At 41.6% G+C, this 22894-nt stretch overlaps 1 protein-coding gene across 3 annotated transcripts in view, besides 8 other annotated features; it reads left to right on the top strand.

Moving 5' to 3' along the window:
- Positions 737-937: a silencer, noted in NCBI's record as "peak224 fragment used in MPRA reporter construct". NCBI's record gives its function as "represses an SCP1 promoter by STARR-seq MPRAs in K562 erythroleukemia cells {active_cell/tissue: K562}" and the evidence as "EXISTENCE:reporter gene assay evidence [ECO:0000049][PMID:32103011]".
- Positions 3291-3488: a silencer, noted in NCBI's record as "fragment chr1:52346444-52346641 (GRCh37/hg19 assembly coordinates)". NCBI's record gives its function as "represses an EF-1alpha promoter that drives an FKBP-Casp9 reporter gene in an ReSE screen in HepG2 liver carcinoma cells {active_cell/tissue: HepG2}" and the evidence as "EXISTENCE:reporter gene assay evidence [ECO:0000049][PMID:32094911]".
- Positions 4242-4795: an enhancer, noted in NCBI's record as "H3K27ac hESC enhancer chr1:52345137-52345690 (GRCh37/hg19 assembly coordinates)". NCBI's record gives its function as "activates a minimal SCP1, AML or CMV promoter by ChIP-STARR-seq in naive H9 embryonic stem cells {active_cell/tissue: H9 hESC(naive)}" and the evidence as "EXISTENCE:reporter gene assay evidence [ECO:0000049][PMID:30033119]".
- Positions 5186-5365: an enhancer, noted in NCBI's record as "active region_1028". NCBI's record gives its function as "activates an Ori minimal core promoter by ATAC-STARR-seq in GM12878 lymphoblastoid cells {active_cell/tissue: GM12878}" and the evidence as "EXISTENCE:reporter gene assay evidence [ECO:0000049][PMID:35858748]".
- Positions 5186-5543: a biological region, named in NCBI's record as "Sharpr-MPRA regulatory region 5937".
- Positions 5249-5543: an enhancer, noted in NCBI's record as "tiled region #5937; HepG2 Activating DNase unmatched - State 1:Tss, and K562 Activating DNase unmatched - State 1:Tss". NCBI's record gives its function as "activates a minimal TATA promoter and a strong SV40 promoter by Sharpr-MPRA in HepG2 and K562 cells {active_cell/tissue: HepG2 | K562}" and the evidence as "EXISTENCE:reporter gene assay evidence [ECO:0000049][PMID:27701403]".
- Positions 5446-5495: a silencer, noted in NCBI's record as "silent region_882". NCBI's record gives its function as "represses an Ori minimal core promoter by ATAC-STARR-seq in GM12878 lymphoblastoid cells {active_cell/tissue: GM12878}" and the evidence as "EXISTENCE:reporter gene assay evidence [ECO:0000049][PMID:35858748]".
- Positions 5533-22894, top strand: part of NRDC (nardilysin convertase) — an 89518-nt gene continuing 72156 nt past the window's right edge. For 2 of the 3 annotated variants that reach the window (NM_001101662.2, NM_002525.3), the window contains exon 1: positions 5533-5985. In NM_001101662.2, the coding sequence (NP_001095132.1) occupies positions 5645-5985 (341 nt within the window). In that variant the 5' untranslated portion in view covers positions 5533-5644. Of the gene's footprint in view, positions 5986-6219; positions 6278-22894 lie in introns of those variants that run through there. The other variant, NM_001242361.2, reaches the window with a different exon arrangement.
- Positions 7212-7743: an enhancer, noted in NCBI's record as "H3K4me1 hESC enhancer chr1:52342189-52342720 (GRCh37/hg19 assembly coordinates)". NCBI's record gives its function as "activates a minimal SCP1, AML or CMV promoter by ChIP-STARR-seq in primed H9 embryonic stem cells {active_cell/tissue: H9 hESC(primed)}" and the evidence as "EXISTENCE:reporter gene assay evidence [ECO:0000049][PMID:30033119]".

Here is a 22894-nt window from a genome sequence, read left to right as displayed (position 1 = left end):
CGGGAGGCTGAGGCAGGAGAATCACTTGAGCCTGGGAGGCAGAGATTGCAGTCAGCCGAGATCATGCCACTGAATTCCAGCTTGGGTGAGAGAGCTAGACCCTGTTTCCAAAAAGGAAAACAACAACACCAACAACAACAACAAAGTAATAGCTTAATTTACCTGTTTCCTCTGAGGAATACTCTTTATAATACAAATGAGAGATGGTAACTTTCCAAATTATTTTAAATAGGAAAACAATACTTCTGGTTTGGAAGTCCTGGCTATGCCTATTGGTCATTTTTGAGTTTCACCTGAATAGGTATTTATCTTTATATCTGAAGACACCAGACTAAAATAATTCAGAGATCCCTTGCCAATTCTTATATTTTATATATCTAATCTGACACTTCTTTTTCTTTGAGACAGAGTTCAATTCTCCTGCCTCAGCCTCCTAAGTAGCTGGGATTACAGGCATGCGCCACCCAAGTAGCTGGGATTACAGGGGTGTACCACCACAGCTGGCTAATTTTTGTATTTTTAGTAGAGACAGGGTTTCGCCCTGTTGACCAGGCTGGTCTTGAACTCCTGGCCTCAACTGATCCTCCTGCCTTGGCCTCCCAAAGTGCTGGGATTACAGGCATAAGCCGCTGCACCGGGCCTCTGATCTGACACTTCTAACATGTGCTGTGGGTCAGAATTGTATTGGGCTCAGCATCAGAGGTATTTTTCCTGTGATCACACAGGTTTTCTTCTTAACACCCTGGTAGTTCCTTCTCAGTCTCTTTTGTGAGTTCTTCCTCTTCTGTAAGTTCCTCAAAGCTTTCTCCTTGGGCCCTTTTTTCACTTCACAATCTCAGTGTAGGTGATCTCATTCAATAAGCTTTGGTTACCACCTAGAAACCAATAAACCTCAAATTTTTATCTCCAATTTAGGTCTCTTTTCTGAGCTTCAGACCTGATCTTCATCTGTGTCTCTCACAAATAACTCAAACTTAACATGTCCAAAACTGAGCTAGTATACTCTTCTCCTACCAAAACTCCTTTTTCAGAATTTCCTGTTTACTGAGTTACTGGCACCATCATCGATCCATCCAGAAAACCAGACAGCAGGGAGTTATACCTAACACTTCTCTCTTTATTCTCCCACATCAAATCAATCACTACCTAATACTGGGCAATTCTACTTCCTGAATACATATTATTTATCTACATCTTTCCATCGCCACTATCACTCCTCAAATCCAAGGTATCATCTTCTATTGCCTATATGACTTCAGCAGCCTTCTAACTGCTCTCTTTTCTTCCAGTCTTGCCTTTGCCCCCACCATCCAATGTTTTTCATACATGAGCCAGAGCGGTCTACTTGGAAAACACTTGTGATCATACTCTCTCTTTTCTTTTGTTCAACCATTATTTACTGAGTACCACAGTGTGCCAGAAACTATTCTAGAAGCTGGGGATCCAATGATATATAAAATAGATAAGGCAATGACCTCTTACTCATAGGAAGGTTCTTTATGATCTCGACCACGGACTGCTTTCCCCTTTGCTTCCAGATTAGTACACTACAATTTAGCCATACTGACTTGCTTTCTCAGGGCTTTTGAACAAGTATGTATATTCCTACACCCAATTCCTATACATTTTTCAAATGTTAATTTACATTTCCCTTATTTACCTTTTTTTTTTTTTGAGTTGGAGTCTCGCTGTTACCCAGGCTGGAGTGCAGTGGCACGATCTTGGCTCACTACAACCTCCACCACCCAGGTTTAAGTGATTCTCCTGCCTCAGTCTCCCGAGTAGCTGGGATTACAGATGCATGCCACCATGCTCAGCTAATTTTTTTTTTTTTTTTTTTTTTGGATTTTTAGCAGAGACGGGTTTTGACATGTTGGCCAGGCTGGTCTCGAACTCCTGACCTCATGATCTGCCCGCCTCTGCCTCCCCAAGTGCTGGGATTACAGGGGTTAGCCACCATTCCTGGCCCATTTCCCTTCTTTAGAGAAACTCTGACCAGTCTAGGTCCCTTTGTTTATATCTTTCCAGAACTACTCACAATTATAAATTTAAAATTTGTGTGTTTGTTTAATGTTTGTCTCTCCCACTAGTTCTCTTTTATGTTCCAAGAGAACAGGAAAATTTCTTGTTCATCACTGTATTCCCAGTTTCTGGCACATACCACGAGCTCAATTTGTTGGTTGAATGAAGAATGGACTGCCTCACATGTGCTATGGAGTTAGAACTGTATTGGGCTCAGCATCAGAGGTATTTTTCCTGTGCATGTTACCATATTTCTACAGTCTGGTAACCTGTAAGATTCAGAGACTTTTATTTTTATTTATTTTGTGGGGACAGAGTCTTACTCTGTCGCCCAGCCTGGAGTGCAGTGGCACAATTTTGGCTCACTGCAACCTCCACCTCCTGGGTTCAAGCAATTCTCTGGCTCAGCCTCCTGAGTAGCTGGGATTACAGGTGTCTGCCACCACACAGAGACTTTTTTTTTTGAGACAGAGTCTCGCTCTGTCGCCCAGGCTGGAGTGCCGTGGTGCAATCTTGGCTCACTGCAACCTCCGCCAGAGACCTCTTTTTAAAGCAGCTCACACTTCAGGATGCAATCTTTGTCTCTTTTTTTTTTTTTTTTTTGGAGACAGGGTCTCACTCTATCACCTAGGCTGGAGTGCAGTGGCATGATCATGGCTTGCTGCAGCCTTGACCTCCTGGGCTCAGGTGATCCTCCCACCTCAGCCTTTCAAGTAGCTGGGACTACAAGCATGCACCACTATACCCAGCTAATTCTTTGTATTTTTTGTGGAGACAGGTTTTCTCTATATTCAGTTTGGTCTCAAACTCCTGGGTTCAAGTGATCCACCTTCCTCAGTCTCCCAAAGTGCTGGGACTACAGACACATGCCATTAGATCCAGCCCACCTTTGTATCTAGTTAGAAAAATTTAATTAAAAACCACTGCTGTGAGCTAGGTGCAGTAGTTATGCCTATAGTAATCCCAGTGATTTGGGAGGCTGAGGTGGGAGGATGGCTTAAGGCCAGGAGTTTGAGACCAGCCTGGATAGACATAGTGAGAACTCATCTCTAAACAAACAAACAAATAAAACCAACAACAACCCACTGCTCTGAAGAAGAGAAGTCTAGTGGAGTTGCTTAAAGTGGTAAGTTCTTGAAAAGATGTATGGAAACAAACTGGGATATTTTAAACAGTATTTTTCAATTTACCTCATCTACTGCTCCAGTTCAGGTTCCATCATTTTCTACCTGAATCATTGTACCCTTCCTCCCTAACTCCTTATCTTCCTATCCTATACAATTTGTCTTCATTGCATTTATTGTTTTTTGTATATGTGAGACAAAGTAGCAAACATAAGAAGCCATGTCTGCTCATTCTGTTTACCAGCAGAATTTCACAAACTCTCTTGCCAGCAGAATTTCACAGCCTCAGTGACTGCGCACAGCCCTCCAGAATACCCTGAAAATATGCAGGATAGAGCACAAGTTCCCATGTCTCTTGCCTGAATCACTGCATTTTTAGAAAAGATAAATCCAATGATGCTCGACCTTGCCTCTTCCTGTACATTTCTGACAGGATTAATGACTATGCCTCCATAATCTATAAACATGTGTACTCTTCCACCTAAACCTTCATGAGATTTTGCTCTAGTGTAACTCCTGAGTACATTTTTTCTTTTTTATTAGAGACAAGGTCTTGCTCTGTCACCAGGCTAGAGTGCAGAGGCACAATCATAGTTCACTGTAACCTCAAACTCAGGAGTCCCAGCAATCCTTTTAACTCTGCCTCTCCTGTAGCTAGGACTACAGGGATGTTCTACCACGCCTTGCTTTTTTATGTGTGTGTGGAGACAGAGTCTTGATATGTTACACAGGCTGGTTGTAAATGCCTGGCCTCAAGCAATCCTTCTGCCTCAGCCTCCTTAATCACTGGGATTACAGGCCCAGCCTTTCTGAGCACATTTGATTTAACTTCCAAGCACATGCAGAGCGGCCACCACCTGTATAGAAGCTGCGGGCTGAAACACTGCTTTGGAGCAGTCTAAAAAAAAAACTCTCTGACTCTCCCAGGTGGCAGTCCTCAATAAGACTTCTGAAGAAAGCTAACTTGAATTATTTAAAAGCCTGATTTACTTTAGTTTACATATTTTACAGTTCCTTCCCATTAGGATGCAAGCTCCCCCAAGGCAAGGCTTTAAATTTTTGTTGTCGTTGTTTAGACAGGGTCTCACTGTGTCAACCAGGCTGGAGTGCAGTGTTGCAATCACGGCTCACTGCAGCCTCGACCTCCTGGACTCAAGCGTTCCTCCTGCCTCAGCCTCCTGAGTAGCTGGGACCACATGCACGCATCACCAAGCCTGGCTAATTTTAAAAAAGAATTTTGTACAGACGGGGGTCTCACCATGTTGTCCAGGCTGGTACCAAATTCCCAGGCTCAAAGCAATCCTCCCGCTTCGGCCTCCCAAAGTACTAGGATTATAGGTGTGAGCTATCACTATCACGCCCAGCCTAAGGCAAGTTTTGTTTTGTTCATGGTTGTATTCCTTGCATTTGGAACTCAGAAGAGGCCTCGAAAACCTTGAAGATACAGTAACTATCAACACATCTCCCTGCTTCACGTCTTTCCCCGCTCATTCGTATGTATGAGCTATGATCTCTTACCCCATGGTGTCAGTATAGTGCATCTTACTAATTTCAGCTGCTTTTTAGCTTTCATTTATGTTTGTATTTCCGTCACATTTTACATTGCTAACCAAAGACCACTGCTAGCGGGAAAAACTGGGAAAGGAGACTTGAAGGCAGCAGACGCTGCAGCTGCTCGATAAAAATTGGCCGAATTTAACAGGAGGCTGGAGGAGCTAAAAAACGTTTTCACACAGAAGAGTTAGCACATCCAGACTGGTCTTTTTAGCACTTTCTTAGGGCTTGAGGATGAAACCCCACCACTGTCGGGCCGACTGTAGGGTAGAGAAGAGCCAATTAGTATTTGCGGCGCTCGGGAGCAGCGTCCATCCGGCGGGTGTAGGAAAATACTTCCGGCGTTCTGGTTTTTTATGTGCTGAGTCACAGCCGAAGGCTCGCCCCGGGTCTGAGGAGTAGGGTACCCAAACTATGACACGAATGGGAAAATTTAAAACTTTGGAATTAATTCTCTGCACTCGTTTCTCAGTTTTCTCATTAGGGGAATATTTTTCTTTGACACGCGGAGCACTACTCAGTGGTTTCCACAAAACACACTCGTACGTCATAAACGCGCCGGGGGCCCTTCTCCCGTCGTCCTCCGCGCCACTCTCTCCGCTTCTTCTCCCTCGCCCCGCCCACTTTGGGTTTCGAAATGTTCGCTGGCTGTTCCGAGAATCAGTCCGGGTCACGTTGGTGCCTCTCCTTTCCTGTTCTGATTGGTTGCTTACGTGAGCGTGACTACTTTCTTGCCTCATGATTGGCTGAAATCAGTAGCGTCATCGGCGGCCGGGAGGGCGGAGGGACGAGGGAAGTCGGCGAGAGGGAGACTGGGTTGGGGGAGGGGTTCAGGCCTGTTCCCCGCGGCTGCGGCAGCACCAGGGCCGGCCGCCACCGCCTCTAGAACGCGGAGGAGGTGGGTCCTGGGAAGCGGGATGTCCATCGCTCCAGCTTGGTGGTGAATGCTGAGGAGAGTCACTGTTGCTGCAGTCTGTGCCACCCGGAGGAAGTTGTGTGAGGCCGGGCGGGAGCTCGCGGCGCTCTGGGGAATCGAAACGCGGGGTCGGTGCGAAGACTCTGCTGCTGCCAGACCCTTTCCTATTCTGGCCATGCCTGGAAGGAACAAGGCGAAGTCTACCTGCAGCTGCCCTGACCTGCAGCCCAATGGACAGGATCTGGGCGAGAACAGCCGGGTTGCCCGTCTAGGAGCGGATGAATCTGAGGAAGAGGGACGGAGGGGGTCTCTCAGTAATGCTGGGGACCCTGAGATCGTCAAGTCTCCCAGCGACCCCAAGCAATACCGGTGAGGGAGGAGGCTTGCAATGGGGAGGCGAACAGTGTGCCGGCTTCTCTGTCGGTGCCGCCGTCACTTCTTGTCTCCATGTCTCCCAATGGAGCAACAGGGCACACTTTCCACCCCAAATGCTTCCTTGGGTGGAGGTGGCAAGCGTGATTAGAGGCTTCCCTGTGGTGTCAGCTGGGCAAGTGGGAGATCTTGGGTTGTAAGACGTCAGAATGGGAGAAGCTTTTCGAGTCATTTGAATACAGTCGCTAAAGCAAGAATGAAGGTTTCTTTGAGGAACGCAGCCTGAATGGTGAGGGAGTCTTGGTATTATGTTACCAGGAAAGGTTGACGGAGTTGGATACTTTAATTTGGAGGACAGGATATTTAAGGGGCATATTATCACTATCCAAAATATTTGAGGGACACTTAAGTGATAGGTGAAACTAGTGGACGAAAGTTACCAGAGGATGGTGTGGCTTCAGTAAAGTAACTTTGCATCATATTTGGCCTAAGTTGAAGTGACTTGTTTCCATGGGTAGTTCTCCATTACCAAAACGGTTGGGCGACCTCGTCCAGGAATATATTAGAGAGGGCTTAGGTCTCAGTTGGGTGAGTTGTAAGGTTTCTTCTAACCTTGAAATTCTCTACTTTTGGTTTGTACAGGAGTTCTCTAAACATTTCTAATAATTGGTGATTCAGTCCCCACCTGAGTATTTTCCTTCAGAGGTAGCTTATTTCATGGAGTATCATGACTATGATGTATCTTGCGTGTGTGTGTGTGCGTGTGTGTTTTAATAAGAGTCTGGGTCTTGCGATGTTGCCCAGGCTAATTTCAAACTCCTGGGCTTAGGGAATCCTCCTGTCTTGGCCTCCCAAAGTACTGGGATTACAGGCGTGAGCCACTGTGCCAGGCCTGGACTTTGATGTATTTTAAATAGAGTTCATATTGTCCAATAACTTCGTTGAACAGGTTGAGGAAATTGAGACCCAAAGAGTTTGCTTCTTGCTCTGAATCACACAGCTAAATAATAACAGAGCTGGTATGATGACCCCTACTATCTGACACCAAATTCAGTGTATCATTTGCTGATTTCCTTTTTTTTTTTGAAACGGAGTCTTGCTGTGTCACCAGGCTGGAGTGCAGTGGCGCGATCTTGGCTCACTGCAACCTCCGCCTCCCGGGTTCAAGCGATTCTCCTGCCTCAGCCTCCCCAGTAGCTGGGACTACAGGTGCTCGCCACCACGCCCGGCTAATTTTTTGTATTTTTAGTGGAGACGGGGTTTCACCATATTGGCCAGGATGGTTTCGATCTCTTGACCTTGTGATCCGCCCGCCTCTTCTCCCAAAGTGCTGGGGTTACAGGCGTGAGCCACCCCGCCCAGCCCGTTTGCCGATTTTTTACAAATTTCTTGCTTATGTGAATTGAAAGCTGAAGGATTCTAGTTCTAAATTTGTTATAAGCCCCTACAGCGTTAGCGCAAGAAACAACCTTATAGATAATCTTTTCCACTTCCCACCACACCTCTTTGACAGATGACACTTAGCTCCAAGTTCAGGACCAACCTAATTTCTCCTTTCACTTCAAGTCTAGATATATTTTCTCCAGGCTGCCAGAGTCAAGAGATCTTTATAAATGAGCTAAATTTTCTTTCTCATCAAAGATGTGATTGTACAGGTTGAGTATCCCTAATCCAAAAATCCAGAATGCTCGGAAATCCAAAACTTTATGAGCGCCAACATGACACCACAAGTGAAAAATTCCACACTTGGCACCTTTGCTTTTTGATGGTTGGTTCATGTACACAAACTTTGTTTCATGCACAAAATTATTAAAAATATTGTATAAAATTATCTTCAGGTTATGTGTATAAGGTATATATGAACCATAAATGAATTTTGTATTTATACTGCATCCCATCCCCAAGATACCTCATTACGTATACGCAAATATTCCAAAATCCAAAAAAATCCAAAATTTGAAATACTTTTGGTCCCGAGTGTTTCGGATAAAGGATACTCAACCTGTATTGGCAATGTATAAATGAGCAAGTTGAAAACTTGATAAAAGGTGCTTAGTTTTTGCCTTCCAGATCAAATGTTCAATAATGGTTTCAGGGTTTTTTCCAGCCTATATAAAGTTATATAATAACTAATATTTATGGAATCTACACTGTGTTTCAGCTACTGTTGTAACTGTTTTAGATGTGTTATTTCATTTACTGACCTCATTTTTGGTAAATTTGTTTGATAAATACCTGTTAAGTCCTACTGTGTGCTAGGCACCAAGCTAGATTAAATATTTTCTGAAACTTGGTCAAATATAATGTAATAAATAACATGTTAGTCTGGGTGAATATACAAAAATGATTGAGCCAGTACCTGCCTTTAGGGAGCTTACAATAGTAGAGAGGGACACAGACACATAAAAAAAAAAATTAGAGACTGTTGTGGTGGCTCATGCCTGTAATCCCAGCACTTGGGGGGCCGTGTTGGGAGGATCACTTGAGCGCAGGATTTCGAGACCAGCCTGGGCAACATAGTGAGCCCCTGTCTCTACACACAAAAAATTAGCCGGGTGTGGTGGTGTGTGCCTGTAGTCCCAGCTACTTGGGAAGCTGAGGTAGGAAGATTCCTTAGCCTGAGAGGTTGAGGCTGCAGTGAGCCATGATCGTGCCACTGCACTCCAGCCTGGGTGGCAGTGAGACACTGTCTCAAAAAACAAATAAATAAAACTAGGGCACTAAAGTTTTATAGAAGCCATAACGGAGGTATGTCCTAGATATATTGAGGAATGAAATACATTGATAAATTCCACCGGGGGAGAAAGGAAAGACTTCAAAGAGTAGATAATGCTTAAGAGTTGTTCTTTGAAAATTGTTGCGTTTTTGTCTTTATATGGCTTTTGCCAAGTCATTGTCCTTCTTAGTGTCTCAGCTTATTTTAAAAACGAAGGGGGTTGGTTAGAACAGCAGTGTTTTTCAATAACCCTCCCCTTTCAGAAGAGCAGTTCTTCCATATTACCTGTTTTATATACTGGAGTTTCAATTAGACTTTTGAAGAAAAGATGTTATTAGTTTAAAATAAAGGTGGAAAGCCTCAGGACTAGGTGATCTTTAAAGACTTATCCAAATTCAATTCTATGAATTTTTGTAACCAGAAACACACTTAGACGCATCTGCAGCCCACAGAGCTGAATTATCCTTCCAGATTCTGCTGAGATATTCCCTCTGTGAAGTCTTTCTAGGCAGAACTAATTCCTCCTTCCATTGTATTTCAGTAGGATTTTGTGCACGATCCATTACAGTACATAGCATCATATTATATATCTTTTGAATAAGTACCAGAGGAGGACCCATTTAGAGGAATATTGTGGTGAAATAATACCTTGAAAGATTTACCAGTCTGCATTTATTAATAGCCTGCGGAATTTTACTTCAGCATATGTGTAATTTGTATTCCGCTTTTTTGAAATGTTGGGCATATTTCCAGGACACCTATTATGCTTTTTTAGGGATCTGTATTAAATGCTTACCAAGTATTGATTCCCTTCCCTTCTGGAAGGGTTAAGGGACTTCAGGTTGGGAATTGATATTCAAATTTTTATTGGTGTTGAGTGGAAATTCTGGTTGGGCAGGATTAGTAGTGGTGTATTCTATTTATTTTTTATTTTTATTTTTATTTTTGAGGCAGGGTCTCACTTTGTAACCCAGGCTGGAGTGCAGTGGCGCCATCACGGCTCACTGCAGCCTCGACCTCCCAGGCTTAGGTGATCCTTCCACCTCAGGCTCTCCAGTAGCTGGGACTACAGGCACGTGCCATCATGCCCAGCTAAGCTTTTGTAGAGATGAGATTTCGCCATTTTGCCTAGGCTGGTCTCAAACTCCTGACCTCAGATGATCTGCCCTCCTTGGCCTCCCATAGTGCTGGGATTACAGGCACAGGTGAGCCACTGCACCTGGCCTGGCTGTGGTGCATTCTGAATAGTAAATTTTAACAATGAAGAACACTTAACGTTAGGTATTTTGGATTGACTAAAACAAGTACAGAGCACTTTCCATGTTTAACCTGCTCGTAAAAAGACCTGTATTTCTATGGAGAAGGAAAGAACAAATGAAAAGGTATGTAAACTTCTTTTTTTTTTTTTTTAATGATTAAAAAAAATTTTGAGACAGGATTTCAATTCATCGCCCAGGCTGGAGTACAGAGGCACCATCACAACCTGCCCCACCATGTCCGGCTAATTTTTTGTAGAAATGGAGGTGGTGGTGGGGGCAGGTGTCTCACCAAGTTGCCCAGGCTGGTCTCGAACTCCTGACCTCAAGAGATCTGCCTGCCTCTGCCTCTCAAAGTGCTGGGATTACAGGTGTGAGCTACCACGCCCTGTCGAAAAGGCATATAAACTTCTGAAGGGCAAGTCCTTCTAATTTAAATTTTGGTCAGACTGTTACAAGTGAGGAGATGGTTATCTTAATAAATTTTCAGGCTGGGCGTGGGGGCTCACGCCTGTAATCCCAGCACTTTGGGAGGCGGAGGTGGGTGGATCATCTGAGGTCAGGAGTTCAAGACCAGCCTGGCCAACATGGTGAAACCCTGTCGCTACTAAAAATAAAAAAATTAGCCAGTTGTAGTGGCAGGTGCTTGTAATCCCAACTACTTGGGAGGCAGAGGCAGGGGAATCGCTTGAACTTGGGAGGCAGAGGTTGCAGTGAGCTGAAATTGTGCTACTGCATTCCAGCCTGGGCAACAGAGCAAGACTCTGTCTCAAACATAAATAAATAAATAAATAAATAAATAAATAAATAAATAAATAAAAATTCCATATATTATAGAAAATAATGGGTGGGTGTGTGCTGAATAAGGTACAGGCTATTTCTGAATATTATGTTGTTTACTATTATATGCTGTGGAACAGGAGGAGGATCACAATTCCAGTGAGTGGAACAGTTGCATTGAGAACACTAACATTTGTTGGCTTCCTGAATAGTTTGCTAGTGAAGTGGCTCACTTCTGAGCAGAAGCCTTTTGCTCACTTTGGCAGCACGTATACTGAGCAGAAGCCTTATACAAATCTGAGGTATCAGAAGAAAACTATACACCAGAAAACAAGAGAACTTTTTTTTTTGTATTGGATGGGAAGAACATAGGTTTATTTGTTGATATTTACAATGAAAACTCCTGGAACCGTAATGCTTCATTCAATACATGAGCCAGTAATTTCATTTGTGTGTGTTTCATTTCACACACACACAGACACACAAATATTGCTAAAATGATCACAAAATCTCACAGCTACAAAAGAAATCATTATGACTTCCATGTGTGTAAATTCCATGAGATTGACAATTCCTTAGTCTGATAACAAATGAACAAGTGAATCCAAATTTCTTTTTGTTTTGCACTCTCACTTGTCTTGTAAAGTAAAGGTAACCTAGGTATTACTTCACGAGATTCAAACTCATTTAACAAAGTAAGTGCTTTTAAGATTGAAATATGTTAAATCTTATGAATACTAGTATAACTTTAATAAACATATCTTTTGTCTCTTACTATTCCTTAGACTGATTTCCTTATTTTGTTTTGTTTTGTGTTTGAGACAGTCTGGGTCTGTCACCCAGGCTGGAGTGCAGTGGTGTGATCTCAACTCACTGCAGCCTCCACCTCCCAGGTTCAAGCCATCCTCCCCACCTTGGCCTCCTAAGTAGCTGGGACTACATGTGCACACCATCATGCCCAGCTAATTTTTGTCCTTTTTTGTAGAGTTGGGTTTCGCTCTGTTGCCCAGGCTAGTCTCAAACTCCTGAGCTCAATCAGCCCACCTTGGCCTCCCAAAGTGCTGGGAGTACTGGCATGAGCCACTGCACCGGGCCTGACTGATTTCTTTAAAGTGGGCTGATGGGCTAGTAAGAATAGAAAGAGTGTATATTGTTTCTAACTGAAGTTGTGTGTGTGTGTGTATGTCTGTGTGTTTTAGGAAAATAAGATTTAGCATTAAAAAGCTCTCTGTTGGCCAGGTGCAGTAGCTCACACCTGTAATCCTAGCACTTTGGGCGGCCAAGGCAGGAAGATCACCTGCCTCTGTCTCAAAAAAACAAAACCAGAACAAAAAACTCTCTGTTTTTCTGACTGGGCGCCGTGGCTCACGCCTGTAATCCCAGCACTTTGGGAGGCTGAGGCTGGTGGATCACGTGAGGTCAGGAGTTGGAGACCTACCTGGCCAACATGGTGAAACCCTGTCTCTACTAAAATACAAAAATTAGCTGGGTGTGGTGGCGGATGCCTGTAATCCCAGATACTGGGGAGGCTGAGGCAGGAGAATCGCTTGAACCCGGGAGGCAGAGGTTGCAGTGAGTCAAGATCGCGCCCACTGCACTCTAGGCTGGGCAACAGAACCAGACTGTCTCAAAAAGAAAACCAAAAAACAAACAAAAACGCCCTGTTTTTAAAGAACTGAATGATGGTAAAAGCTCTTTTGCTTTTAAGAAGCTTATGATCTGCTGTAGGAGAGTCAGGGAGCAGATACTGAAACTGAAATGCATTAAATATAATAGGTGCTAGAATAGGGATATGTAAAGTATGACTTTTTGTTTTGTCATTTGTGTTTCTAGCTTGCTGTCTACTGGTTATGTGACCTTTAGCAAGTTAACTAATGTCTCTAAGGCTAAGGATCTTCATAAGGACACAGAAGAAGAGCAACCTATAAACAATTGAAATTGAAAAGGAGCAGTTGGGAAGCAGGTGATAGTGGCTTTTTTTTTTTTTTTTTTTTTTTTTTTTTTAATGAACCAGTGGAGGAGAATTCTTGAAGCAAGGAGTGATGATAGATAAAACTGAGAGGTCAAGCAGTACTAGGACTGAATCCCTTTTGGAGACTCGAGAAATTATTACTGGTGAAAGCAGTTTCAAAGGAATGGTATGGAGGCAGAAACCAGGTTGTAGTGAGTTAAGGATGAATGGAGAGTGAGAAATTGATTGACTGAGATGGAGTCTTGCTCTGTCACCCAGGCTGGAGTGCAGTGGTGTGATCTTGGCTCACTGCAACTTCCACTTCCCGAGTTCAAGCAATTCTCGTGCCTCAGCCTCCAAAGCAGCTGGGGTTACAGGCATGTGCCGCCATGCCCAGCTTATTTTTGTATTTTTAGTAGAGAGGGGATTTCATCATCTTGGCCAGGCTGGTTTTGAACTCCTGACCTCAGGTGATCCACCTGTCTCAGCCTCCCAAAGTGCTGGGATTGCAGGCCTGAGGCACCACGCCCGGCCAAGAGTGAGAAATTTTGAATGATGAGGTACACATTGTTTGGTTTTAAAGGGGAAGGGATGAGAGGAGATTTTAGGATAAAAACAGTGCATTGTAGCAAGAGAGAGTTTTTTTCAAGATGAATAAGAGGTGAGCATGTCTTGCTTGAGAAAAAAAGAATCAGTAGAGAAGTTGAAGATACAGACAGTAATAGATTACTGTCTGTATTAGTAATAATACTGTCAGTATTAGTAATTATTAATTACTAATTATTAATACTGTCTGTATTCATAATAATAATAGATTCTTAGATAGTTGTGAGGTGACAGGATTAATCTTAAGAACATACCCAGAGAGGCTCATTTTAGAGAGACGAGAAAATATCTTCACTTAAAGTGAAGGAAGTAACGAGTATGGATGCAGGCAGTGAAAACTTGAAAGGGTGACTTTCCCCTCTTATTTGTAAAGTAGTCATTGAAATGTACTTAGGTGGTCCTCTGGGGAACTCTAAGGGAAATAGTGGGATGCATAGGGGAAGCCTTGAGTGTGAAGGTTTGAAATAGCTAATGTAGAAAATGGGTGAAGTGTATACGTGGTAAATACTAAGAAAATTTGTGGGTTCTTGAGCATGAAAATGATAAAAGTAAAGCAGTATTTTAAGAATAAAGCAGTAGTTTAAATCTATAGGATGTGGAAGACTGGCTTAAGAGTCAGTTATAATTGTGTCAGTTGTGTTGACACAAATGGTACTAGTCTTTCTGTAGCTGATGTGTTCCCCTCTTCACTTTTCTTTTTGCTTTCCACTTAATTCACTTTAAATGTTTGCTAGGCTAAATGCCCGTGAGTACGGAGATCATGTCTGTTTTATTCACTCAAGGTCCAGTACATTTTAGGTTCTCAAATAATATTTGTAGAATGTATGAATGTATGAGTGCTTACATGCCAGGCATTTTCACAGAACTCATGGGGATATTTTGCCAGAAATTTCTTAGATTAAAATTGTATTCTGAAGCTGGGCACAGTGGCACATACTTGTAATCCCAGCTACTTGGGAGGCTGAGATGGGAGGATGGCTTGAGCCCAGTAGTTCAAGACCAGCCTGGGCAACAAAATGAGATCCCTCCATCTCTTAAAAAAATTTTTTTAAGTGTATTTTGGCCAGTTTTAAAGCAATTGATTTTCAGAGAAAATGAATATGGACAGGTTACAGAAGTGCAAATGATACAAATACTACAAATGCGTATGCTGATATTGTATATTTTGTGTGGAAGCTTGTGCTTGGCATAGTAAGCACTCAAATGTTAGCTATTACTGTTTATATATTGGATAAGGCCATGAATAAAGCTGGCTTTGTAGCATTTTTTGTAGTAGTAAAAAGTTGGTACAACTTTATTTTCCATTGGTTGAATAAAGATTAAATTATGTTACAGTTTTACAATGAAAATAATACATAGCTATAAAAAAGGATAGGTGATTTTATATGTTGAAATAGAGAGATCTTCTCTGATTTATTGTTGAATGAAAACTAGTGGCAAAACAAAATGTATAATTCCATTTTTAAAAGGAAAAAACATTACTGTTATATGTTTACTTAAATTATAGTTTTTCACGTATTCATATATATGTACAGAAACGATTAGGGATGGTATTCAGCAAGCTCATTTCTCTGGGGAAAGGAAGGAGAGATTTGACTTTTGTTTTATTTATTTTTTAGTAATTACAAGAAGATAAGTGTTAAATAACAATAAAGAAGTATTATGTGGTCATCACAGGGAAGGAACTTTAGATAAAAAGAAAATTTAAGAATTCCTGGCTGGGCGCGCTGGTTCATGCCTGTAATCCCAGCATCTTAAGTCAAGGCAGGAGGATCGCTGGAGATCATGAGTTTGAGGCCAGCCTGGGTAACAAAACAAGACCCTACCTCTACAAAAAATTAAAAAATTAGCTGGGCTTGGTGGTGTGCACCACCAAGCTGGTGTGGTCCCAGCTACTTGGAAGGCTGAGGTAGGAGGATGGCTTGAGCACAAGAGTTTGAGGTTGTAGTGAGCCATGATCACACCGGTACACTCCAGTGTGGGCAACAGAGTGAGACCCTATCTCAAAAAGAGAGAATTCTCCATAATTATTCTACCCTGCATTAACCACTGGTAACATTTTAAATAATTTCAATGCCTTATTTTATTTTTTGAGGTGGTGGCTCACTCCCTCTCAGGATGCAGTGCAGTGGTGTGATCTCAGGTCACTGCAACCTCCACCTCCCAGGCTCAAGTGATCCTCCCACTTCAGCCTCCTTGAGTAGCTGGGACGACAGGCACGCACCACCACACCTGGCTAATTTTTGTAGAGATGGGGTTTCCTCATGCTACCCAGCCTGGTCTCGAATTCCTGGATCCTAGAGTCAAGTGATCCTCCTGCCTTCATCTCCCAAAGTGCTGGAATTACGGGCATGAACCACTGTGCCCAGCCAGACAGTACTGTTACTACATGATAGATTTAAGTGCTATTCTATGAAAATACATTACTGAGGAGGTACTAAGCAGTAATTAGAGTATAAATGGATTGTATTCTCTCATTTTATTCCTTCTAACAAACTTCTCATAATGGCAGGTAATGTCCAAGGCCTTCTATTTTGTTCTTAACGTTCTATCTTCATCTTCATCTTCTGTTGTGCTATTTTGTGCTTCTTTTCTTGGCACATGTTTTCTTTGGTCATATTTGCCTTTTGAATTCATGCATGAGTATCTCCTCTCTTTTCTGTTTTCTTTCAATCGTCCCTTCCCACATGTAGTTAGTGACTCTTGTGTGGCCCTCTAGCAATGTTTTTTTTCCAAGCGATTTCATATTTTTGTAGTTATTACTTGTCTTTCCACGCTATTATGTTGAATTTTTTGAAGGGAGAGAATTTGTTTCTTTGAGTCTTTGCATACCTTCTCTTCTGTTAGTAATAAATGAATAGTCTGTACTCCTAAGACCTTATCTCTACTCTCCAGTTGTGTACTGGATCCCATCTCCTTACACCTTTTATGTTCCACTAATTATTCCAGCAATTGTTCTCCTTCCATCCTGCATCATCAGTTTGTCTTTTACTGGATCATCCCCGGGAGCATACAAATATGCTGTAATTGTTTCCATCTTCAGGAGAGAAAATTTCTTTATTCTTTATCCCCTTGGAGCTATGTCCTTCTAGCTATTCAGTTTCTCTGGTAACTGTAGCAAAACTTGTTGAGTTATCTGTACTTGCAGTTTGTAATTCATCTGTTTCCATTATTCTGTAAGCTCACTCAGAGTAGACTTCTGCCACTATTGTTACACTGAAATAGCTAGTTCAAGGTCACCAATATCTTTACATTAGTCAATTCTCAAGTTATCTTACTCAACCTATCAGCATCATACTGCATAGTTCACCATTCTTCTTGAAATGCTTTGATCAGTTGACTTTCAGGTCACCACTGTTCATAGTTCTCTTCCTGCTTATTCACAGATCTCTTCTTATTTCCCTGACTTCTAAATTTTGGATTATCTAGGGCTCAATTTTCAGACTTCTCATCTACCCTTACTCTGTATGTTGTCCGGTCTCATGACTTTAAATATCAGCCTGTATAAAATAAATTTTGTTTTCCTACCTCCATGTTTTTTCTTACTCTTTTTTTTTATAGCACTTATTGTCATTTGACATAAATTTACTTGTGCATTGTCTTTCTCTTGCACTGGAATGTTTCATCACAAGGGCAAGGAATTAGTTTTGTTTACTGCTTATATCGCCAGTGCCTAGAATAGTGCCTGTTTTAAAGTCTTGCTTCCATTTCTGTCTTCTTCCTTTTCTCCTTTGGCTTGTTACATAAGGATATACTTTTCAGTCTTTTTTTTTGGTTACTTTATTTCTTGCTTTTTGTCTGGATCAAAACATAATGTTTAGGCTGGGCACAGTGGCTCATGATGCCTGTAATCCCAGTGCTTTGGTAGGCTGAGGCAGGAGTATTGCAGGAGCCCAGGAGTTTGAGGTTACAGTAAGCTATGATCGCATCATTGTGCTGCAGCCTGAGCGACAGACTGAGACTCTGTCTTTGAATATATATGGCATATATGTATATATAAAACATACATATATATAGAAACAAAACCTTACAGATAACAGCTGAAGCCCTCTTTATATTGCCTCTTCCCATTACCTTCTCTGCCTTCTTTTTTCAGTGTTAACCACTATCTAAATTTCATGTATATACCGTACTAGTTCTATCTATAGTTGTATACTTTTTATTAAACATACTTTTTAAACAGTATATATCATTGTTTTTGCATGTTTTAAAGCATTATAGAAATAGAAAGGTATCACATTAGATGTCTCATAATCTTTTTTTTTTTTTGGTTTAACATTGCTTTTGAGATTTATCCATGTCAATAAGTGTAATTCTAGTTATTTGTGTTAACCAATGTTTAATATTTTGTTGATGAATACATCGTTATTATCTATTTTCCTATTGTCATTTGGTTACAGTTTTCTGTTATATTTTGTTTTATGACTATGCCACAATTTAGCTTTTTTCTTTTTGTTTTTCATTTAAGTTGTTTCTAGCATTTCAGAGGACTGTATATGGTTCCTTGTGCACACGTTTGAGAATTTATCTAGGGCACATACCTATGAGTGAAATGATACCTATAAGTGAAATGACTGGGCATACTCATTTTTAACCTCACTAGATATTGCCATTAGTACTCTTCTAATGGGTTGTGCTTTTTTACATTGACACCAATAGAACATGAGAGTTCCTGCTTCTTTACGTTCTTACATTTTTAGCAGTTATTGATACTGTTAGTTTTTTTCTTTTCTTTTTTTTAAAGATAAGGTCTCACTCTGTTATCCAGGCTGGAGTGCAGTGGTGAAATCATAGCTTACTGTAACCTAGAAGTCCTGGGCTCAAGGGGCCCTCCTGCCTCAGCCTCTGGAGTGGCTGGGACTGCCACCACGCCCAGCTAATTTTAAGAAATTTTTCTTTTTTTTTTTGAGATGGAGTCTTGCTCTGTCGCCCAGGCTGTGCAGTGGCAAAATCTTGGCTCACTGCAACCTCTGCCTCCTGGGTTCTAGTAATTCTTCTGCCTCAGCCTCCTGAGTAGCTGAAACTACAGGTGCCTGCCACCATGCCCAGCTAATTTTTTTTTTTTTTGTATATTTAGTAGAGATGGGGTCTCACCATGTTGGCCAGGATGGTCTCGTTCTCCTGACCTCCTGATCCGCCCTCTTGGCCTCCCAAAGTGCTGGGAATACAGGCGTGAGCTATCATGCTTGGTCGATATTGTTAGGTTTTAAAAAAAATTACTATCTGTGGAAAATTGTATTTCTCACTTTTTTTTAAAGGTTAGTCAAGTGAAGCAGTGGGAGTGGAGAAGGCATCATTTAGTTGTGAATACCACTGAATTCAGATCAGCCTATATTTTTCTTTCTTAAAAAATCTTTTTAGGCTGGGCGCAGTGGCACATGCCTGTAATTCCAGCACTTTGGGAAGCCAAGGTGGGCGAATCACCTGAGGTCAGGAGTGCAAGACCAGCCTGGCCAACATGGTGAAACCCCATCTCTACAAAAATAGTAAATTAGCCAGGCATGATCATGGGTGCCTGTAATCCTGGCTACTCGGGAGGCTGAGGTGGGAGTATCGCTTGAACCCGGGGAGGCGGAGGTTGCATGAGCCATGATCACGCCATTGCACTCTAACCTGGGTGACAGAGCGAGACTCCGTCTCAAAAAAAAAAAACAAAACGAAAAACTTAAAAAATTTGTATTTCCCCTTATTACTAATAAGATCAGACATTATTTCATAGTTTGTAGACATCAGGATTTCTCCTTTTATAAATTGCCTGCTTTTCTATTGGGTTGTTTTTTCTTTTTATAAATTTGACTTGTAAAAATTCATTTTATTTTGAATGCTAATTTTTTGTCGATTATATGAGTTGCAAATGTATTCTCTAAGTCCATAGCTTATGTTTGCTCCTTGTTTATAAAGTCAAACATTGAATCAGTTATTGATCTTTTATGGTTTGCACTTTTTGTATCTTATTCTAAAAATTTTATTATAGTTTTTTACATTAAGAAATCTAATTTTTTTTTTTTTTTTTAAGACCAGGTCTCACTCCATCACCCAGGGTGGGGTGCAGTGGCATGATCTCAGCTCACTGCAACCTCTGCCTCCCGGGTTCAAGCGACTCCCACCTCAGCCTCCTGAGTAGCTGGAACTACAGGCATGCACCACCACGCCTGGCTAATTTTTGTATTTTTAGCAGAGACAGGGTTTTACCATGTTGGCCAGGCTGGTCTCGAAGTCCTGGCCTCAAGTGATCTGCCCTCCTTGTCCTCCCAAAGTTCTGGGATTATAGGTGTGAGCCACCATGCCTGGCAAAAATCTAATTTTATTACTATTTAAAAAAAAATATGGATAACCAGTTGTCCAGTCATACTTTTAAAAAAGTATAAATCCCAGAGATCACCAAATATTTTCTGTAAAAGTTCTAGCTAATAAATACTTTGGGCTTTGTCAGTCAGGAGGTGAAATTGAGGATATTAAGTAAGTACTTGTATATCAAAAAAGAAAACAAATTTCTGCAAATTTTTGGTGAAAATTTTTATGAAGTTCAAAATATAGTATGTTTTTTGGTAATACAGTTCTACTAGTAAGAATGATGGAATTGTTTTTATTGGGATAACATTTTGCTTTATTGGGATCAAAATTAAGTGTTCATCAGTCAGTTCATCTGTTAAATCTGATTTGTAATGAGATTTTACATACCTTATCTTTGAAAATGTCTTTCCACATAGCTAGGTACCGCCAATATATTAATATTGAAATACTAATAGCAGTCTATGAGTACAGATGGTCCCTAATTTATGTTGGTTCAACTTAGGGTTTTTCCACTTTCCATGGTGCAAAAAAGTGATATGCATTCAGTAGAAACCGATCTTTGAGTACCCATATGATCTTTCTGTTTTTCACTTCAGTGTTGTATCAGTAAATTACATGAGATATTCAACACTTCATTATAAAATAGACTTTGTGTTGGATGATTTTCCCCAACTGTAGGCTATGTAAGCATTCTGAGCATGTTTGAGGTAGGCTAGGTTAAGCTATTGATGTTCAGTAGGTTAGGTTAAATGCATTTTCAATTTACAATATTTTCAACTTAAGATGGGTTTTTCAGGACCTAACCCTGTTGTAAGTCGAGGAGCATCTGTATATGACTTTAATTGAGCATATTCTTTGCTTGGAAAACATTTATATAATTATATTAGATTCTTCTCATATTTTTTCCTTTTAACATTATTATAGATTAAATAGATCAAACACTATAGATCAGTCACTTCCAATTAAATTAGGTGGGATCTCCTCAATTGCACAGTTAATGGACTTTGAAATATGGAAGTTTCTTTGTGGTTGCAACAAGGTCTGGAAGGCACTTCTGAAACTATAGTTTGTGGGGGAATGGAGGTATTACTTCTTGTTTTAACTTTTTATAGCACAGGAAGTATATGACGTAGCTTGCCATTACTTGTGATTCAAACATCATTCTTGATTGAAATGACTTAAATGCTGTTTTGTCTTGTAATTTTAGGTTGAGTTCATTAAAGAAACATTATTAAATCTGCACCAAAAGCTAATTTTTTTTTTTCTTGAGACAGAGTCGTGCTCTGTCACCCAGGCTGGAGTACAGCAGTGCAATCTTGGCCCACTGCAGCCTCTGCCTCCCGGGTTCAAGTGATCCTTCTGCTTCAGTCTCCCAAGTAGTTGGGACTACAGACGTACGCCACCATGCCCAGCTAATTTTTGTATTTTTAGCAGAGACAAGGTTTTGCTGTGTTGTCTAGGCTGGTCTTGAACACCTGATCTCAAGTGATCCGCCTGCCTTGGCCTCCCAAAGTGCTGGGATTACAGGTGTGAGCCACCATGCCTGGCCTCATTTTGAACTTCTCTGAAGAAATTCTACAGTGATGTGATACTTTGTTTTAAATTTTCTACTTTTTCTGGTTATTGCTTGTTTTTTTTTTTTTTTTTTTTTTTTTCCTCCACACAGAGTCTCACTCTGTCATCCAGGCTAGTGTGCAGTGGCCTGATTTCAGCTCGCTGCAAACTCTGCCTCCCAGGTTCAAGCGATTCTCCTGCCTCAGCCTCCCGAGTAGCTGGGATTATAGGCACGTGCCACCACACCTGGCTAATTTTTGTATATTTAGTAGAGACAGGGTTTTGTTGTCCAGCTGGTCTCAAACTCCTGGCCTCATGTGATCTGCTTGCCTTGGCCTCCCGAAGTGCTGGGATTACAGGCATGAGCCACTGCTCCTGGCCTTTTTTTTAAGACAGGGCCTCCTCAGTCTGTTCCCTAGGCTGGAGTGCAGTGTCATGATCATGGCTCACTGCAGCCTTAACCTCCTGGCTCAGGTGATCCTCCCACCTCAGCCTCCTGAGTAGCTGGCACCACAAGTGTGTGTTACCACCTCGGGCTAATTTTAAAAATTATTTGCAGAGATGAGGTCTCCTTTTGTTGCCCAAGCTGATCTTGAACTCCTGGGCTCAAGCAATCCTCCCACCTCAGCCTCCCAAAATTCTGGGATTACAAGCATGAGCCACCACACTCAGCCTCTTTTTTTTTTTCTTTTTTAGAGAGATGATCTCACTGTGTCACCCAGGCTGTACTGCAGTGGTGCCATCATAGCTCACTGCAGCATCGAACTTCTAGGCTCAAGTGATCCTCCTGCCTGTGCCGCCCAAAGTGTTGGAATTACAGGCATGAGCCACTGCTTCTAGATGGATGTCTTTTATTGGCGGGGGGGAAAGCCCTATATACGTATATATGTATTTTTTACTAATTCTAAAACTGCTAACCCAAGCAGGACAAAATTTAATTGAATACCAAGAAAATAACCATGCCAGATTTTCATGCTAAATCAGCTAATACTAACATTGTTTAGATACGCAATTTGAATGAACTCCATGGTCCAAAGTCAAATTACCTATGATAACTCATTCTAATAAACAGTTCTATGCATCTAAATTGGAGAGACAAAATTGGCATTTAGGAGGATATTAAGTCCAATGTTATCCATGGACTCATGGAGAGCTTTGACCCACCTGGCCCTTCCTGAGTCGTCGAAGTTTCCATTACTAAAAGCTCTGCAGTCAGTGACTCATCATAGATGAGACTAAGTAATCCCAATTGCATATAAATGTGTGCGTGTGTGTGGCGAATGTTCTAAATGCGAAAATGGTTTATGACCAATGTTTGGTTTGTCAAACCCATAATCAATCCTGAGAAGATAATAAAAACTTCAGGTATATTTCTGCCCTGGTGGGCCATTTAAACATTTATAGAGGTATTTTCTTCACTTGTCATTTTCAGTGTATGTTTTCTGGTGGTACAGAATCTTTCTCATGTAGCCAGGCACAGTGGCTCACCACTTGTAATCCTAGCACTTTGGGAAGCCAAGGGGGGCGGATTGCCTGGGCTCAGGAGTTCAGGACCAGCCTGGGCAACATGGTGAAACCACGTCTCTACTAAAATAAAAAAAAATAATAATAATAATAAAAAGCCAGGCCTCATGGCATGCACCTGTAGTCCCAGCTACTTGGGAAGCTGAGGCACAAGAATTGCTTGAACCTGGGAGGCAGAGGTTGCAGTGAGCCAAGATTGTGCCACTGCACTCCAGCCTGGGCAAC

This window comes from Homo sapiens, chromosome 1 (genome assembly GCF_000001405.40).
Source record: "Homo sapiens chromosome 1, GRCh38.p14 Primary Assembly".
NCBI classification, from domain to species: Eukaryota; Metazoa; Chordata; class Mammalia; order Primates; family Hominidae; genus Homo; species Homo sapiens.
Note: the sequence above shows the minus strand (reverse complement) of the source record. Positions and strands in the feature narration are given on the sequence as shown.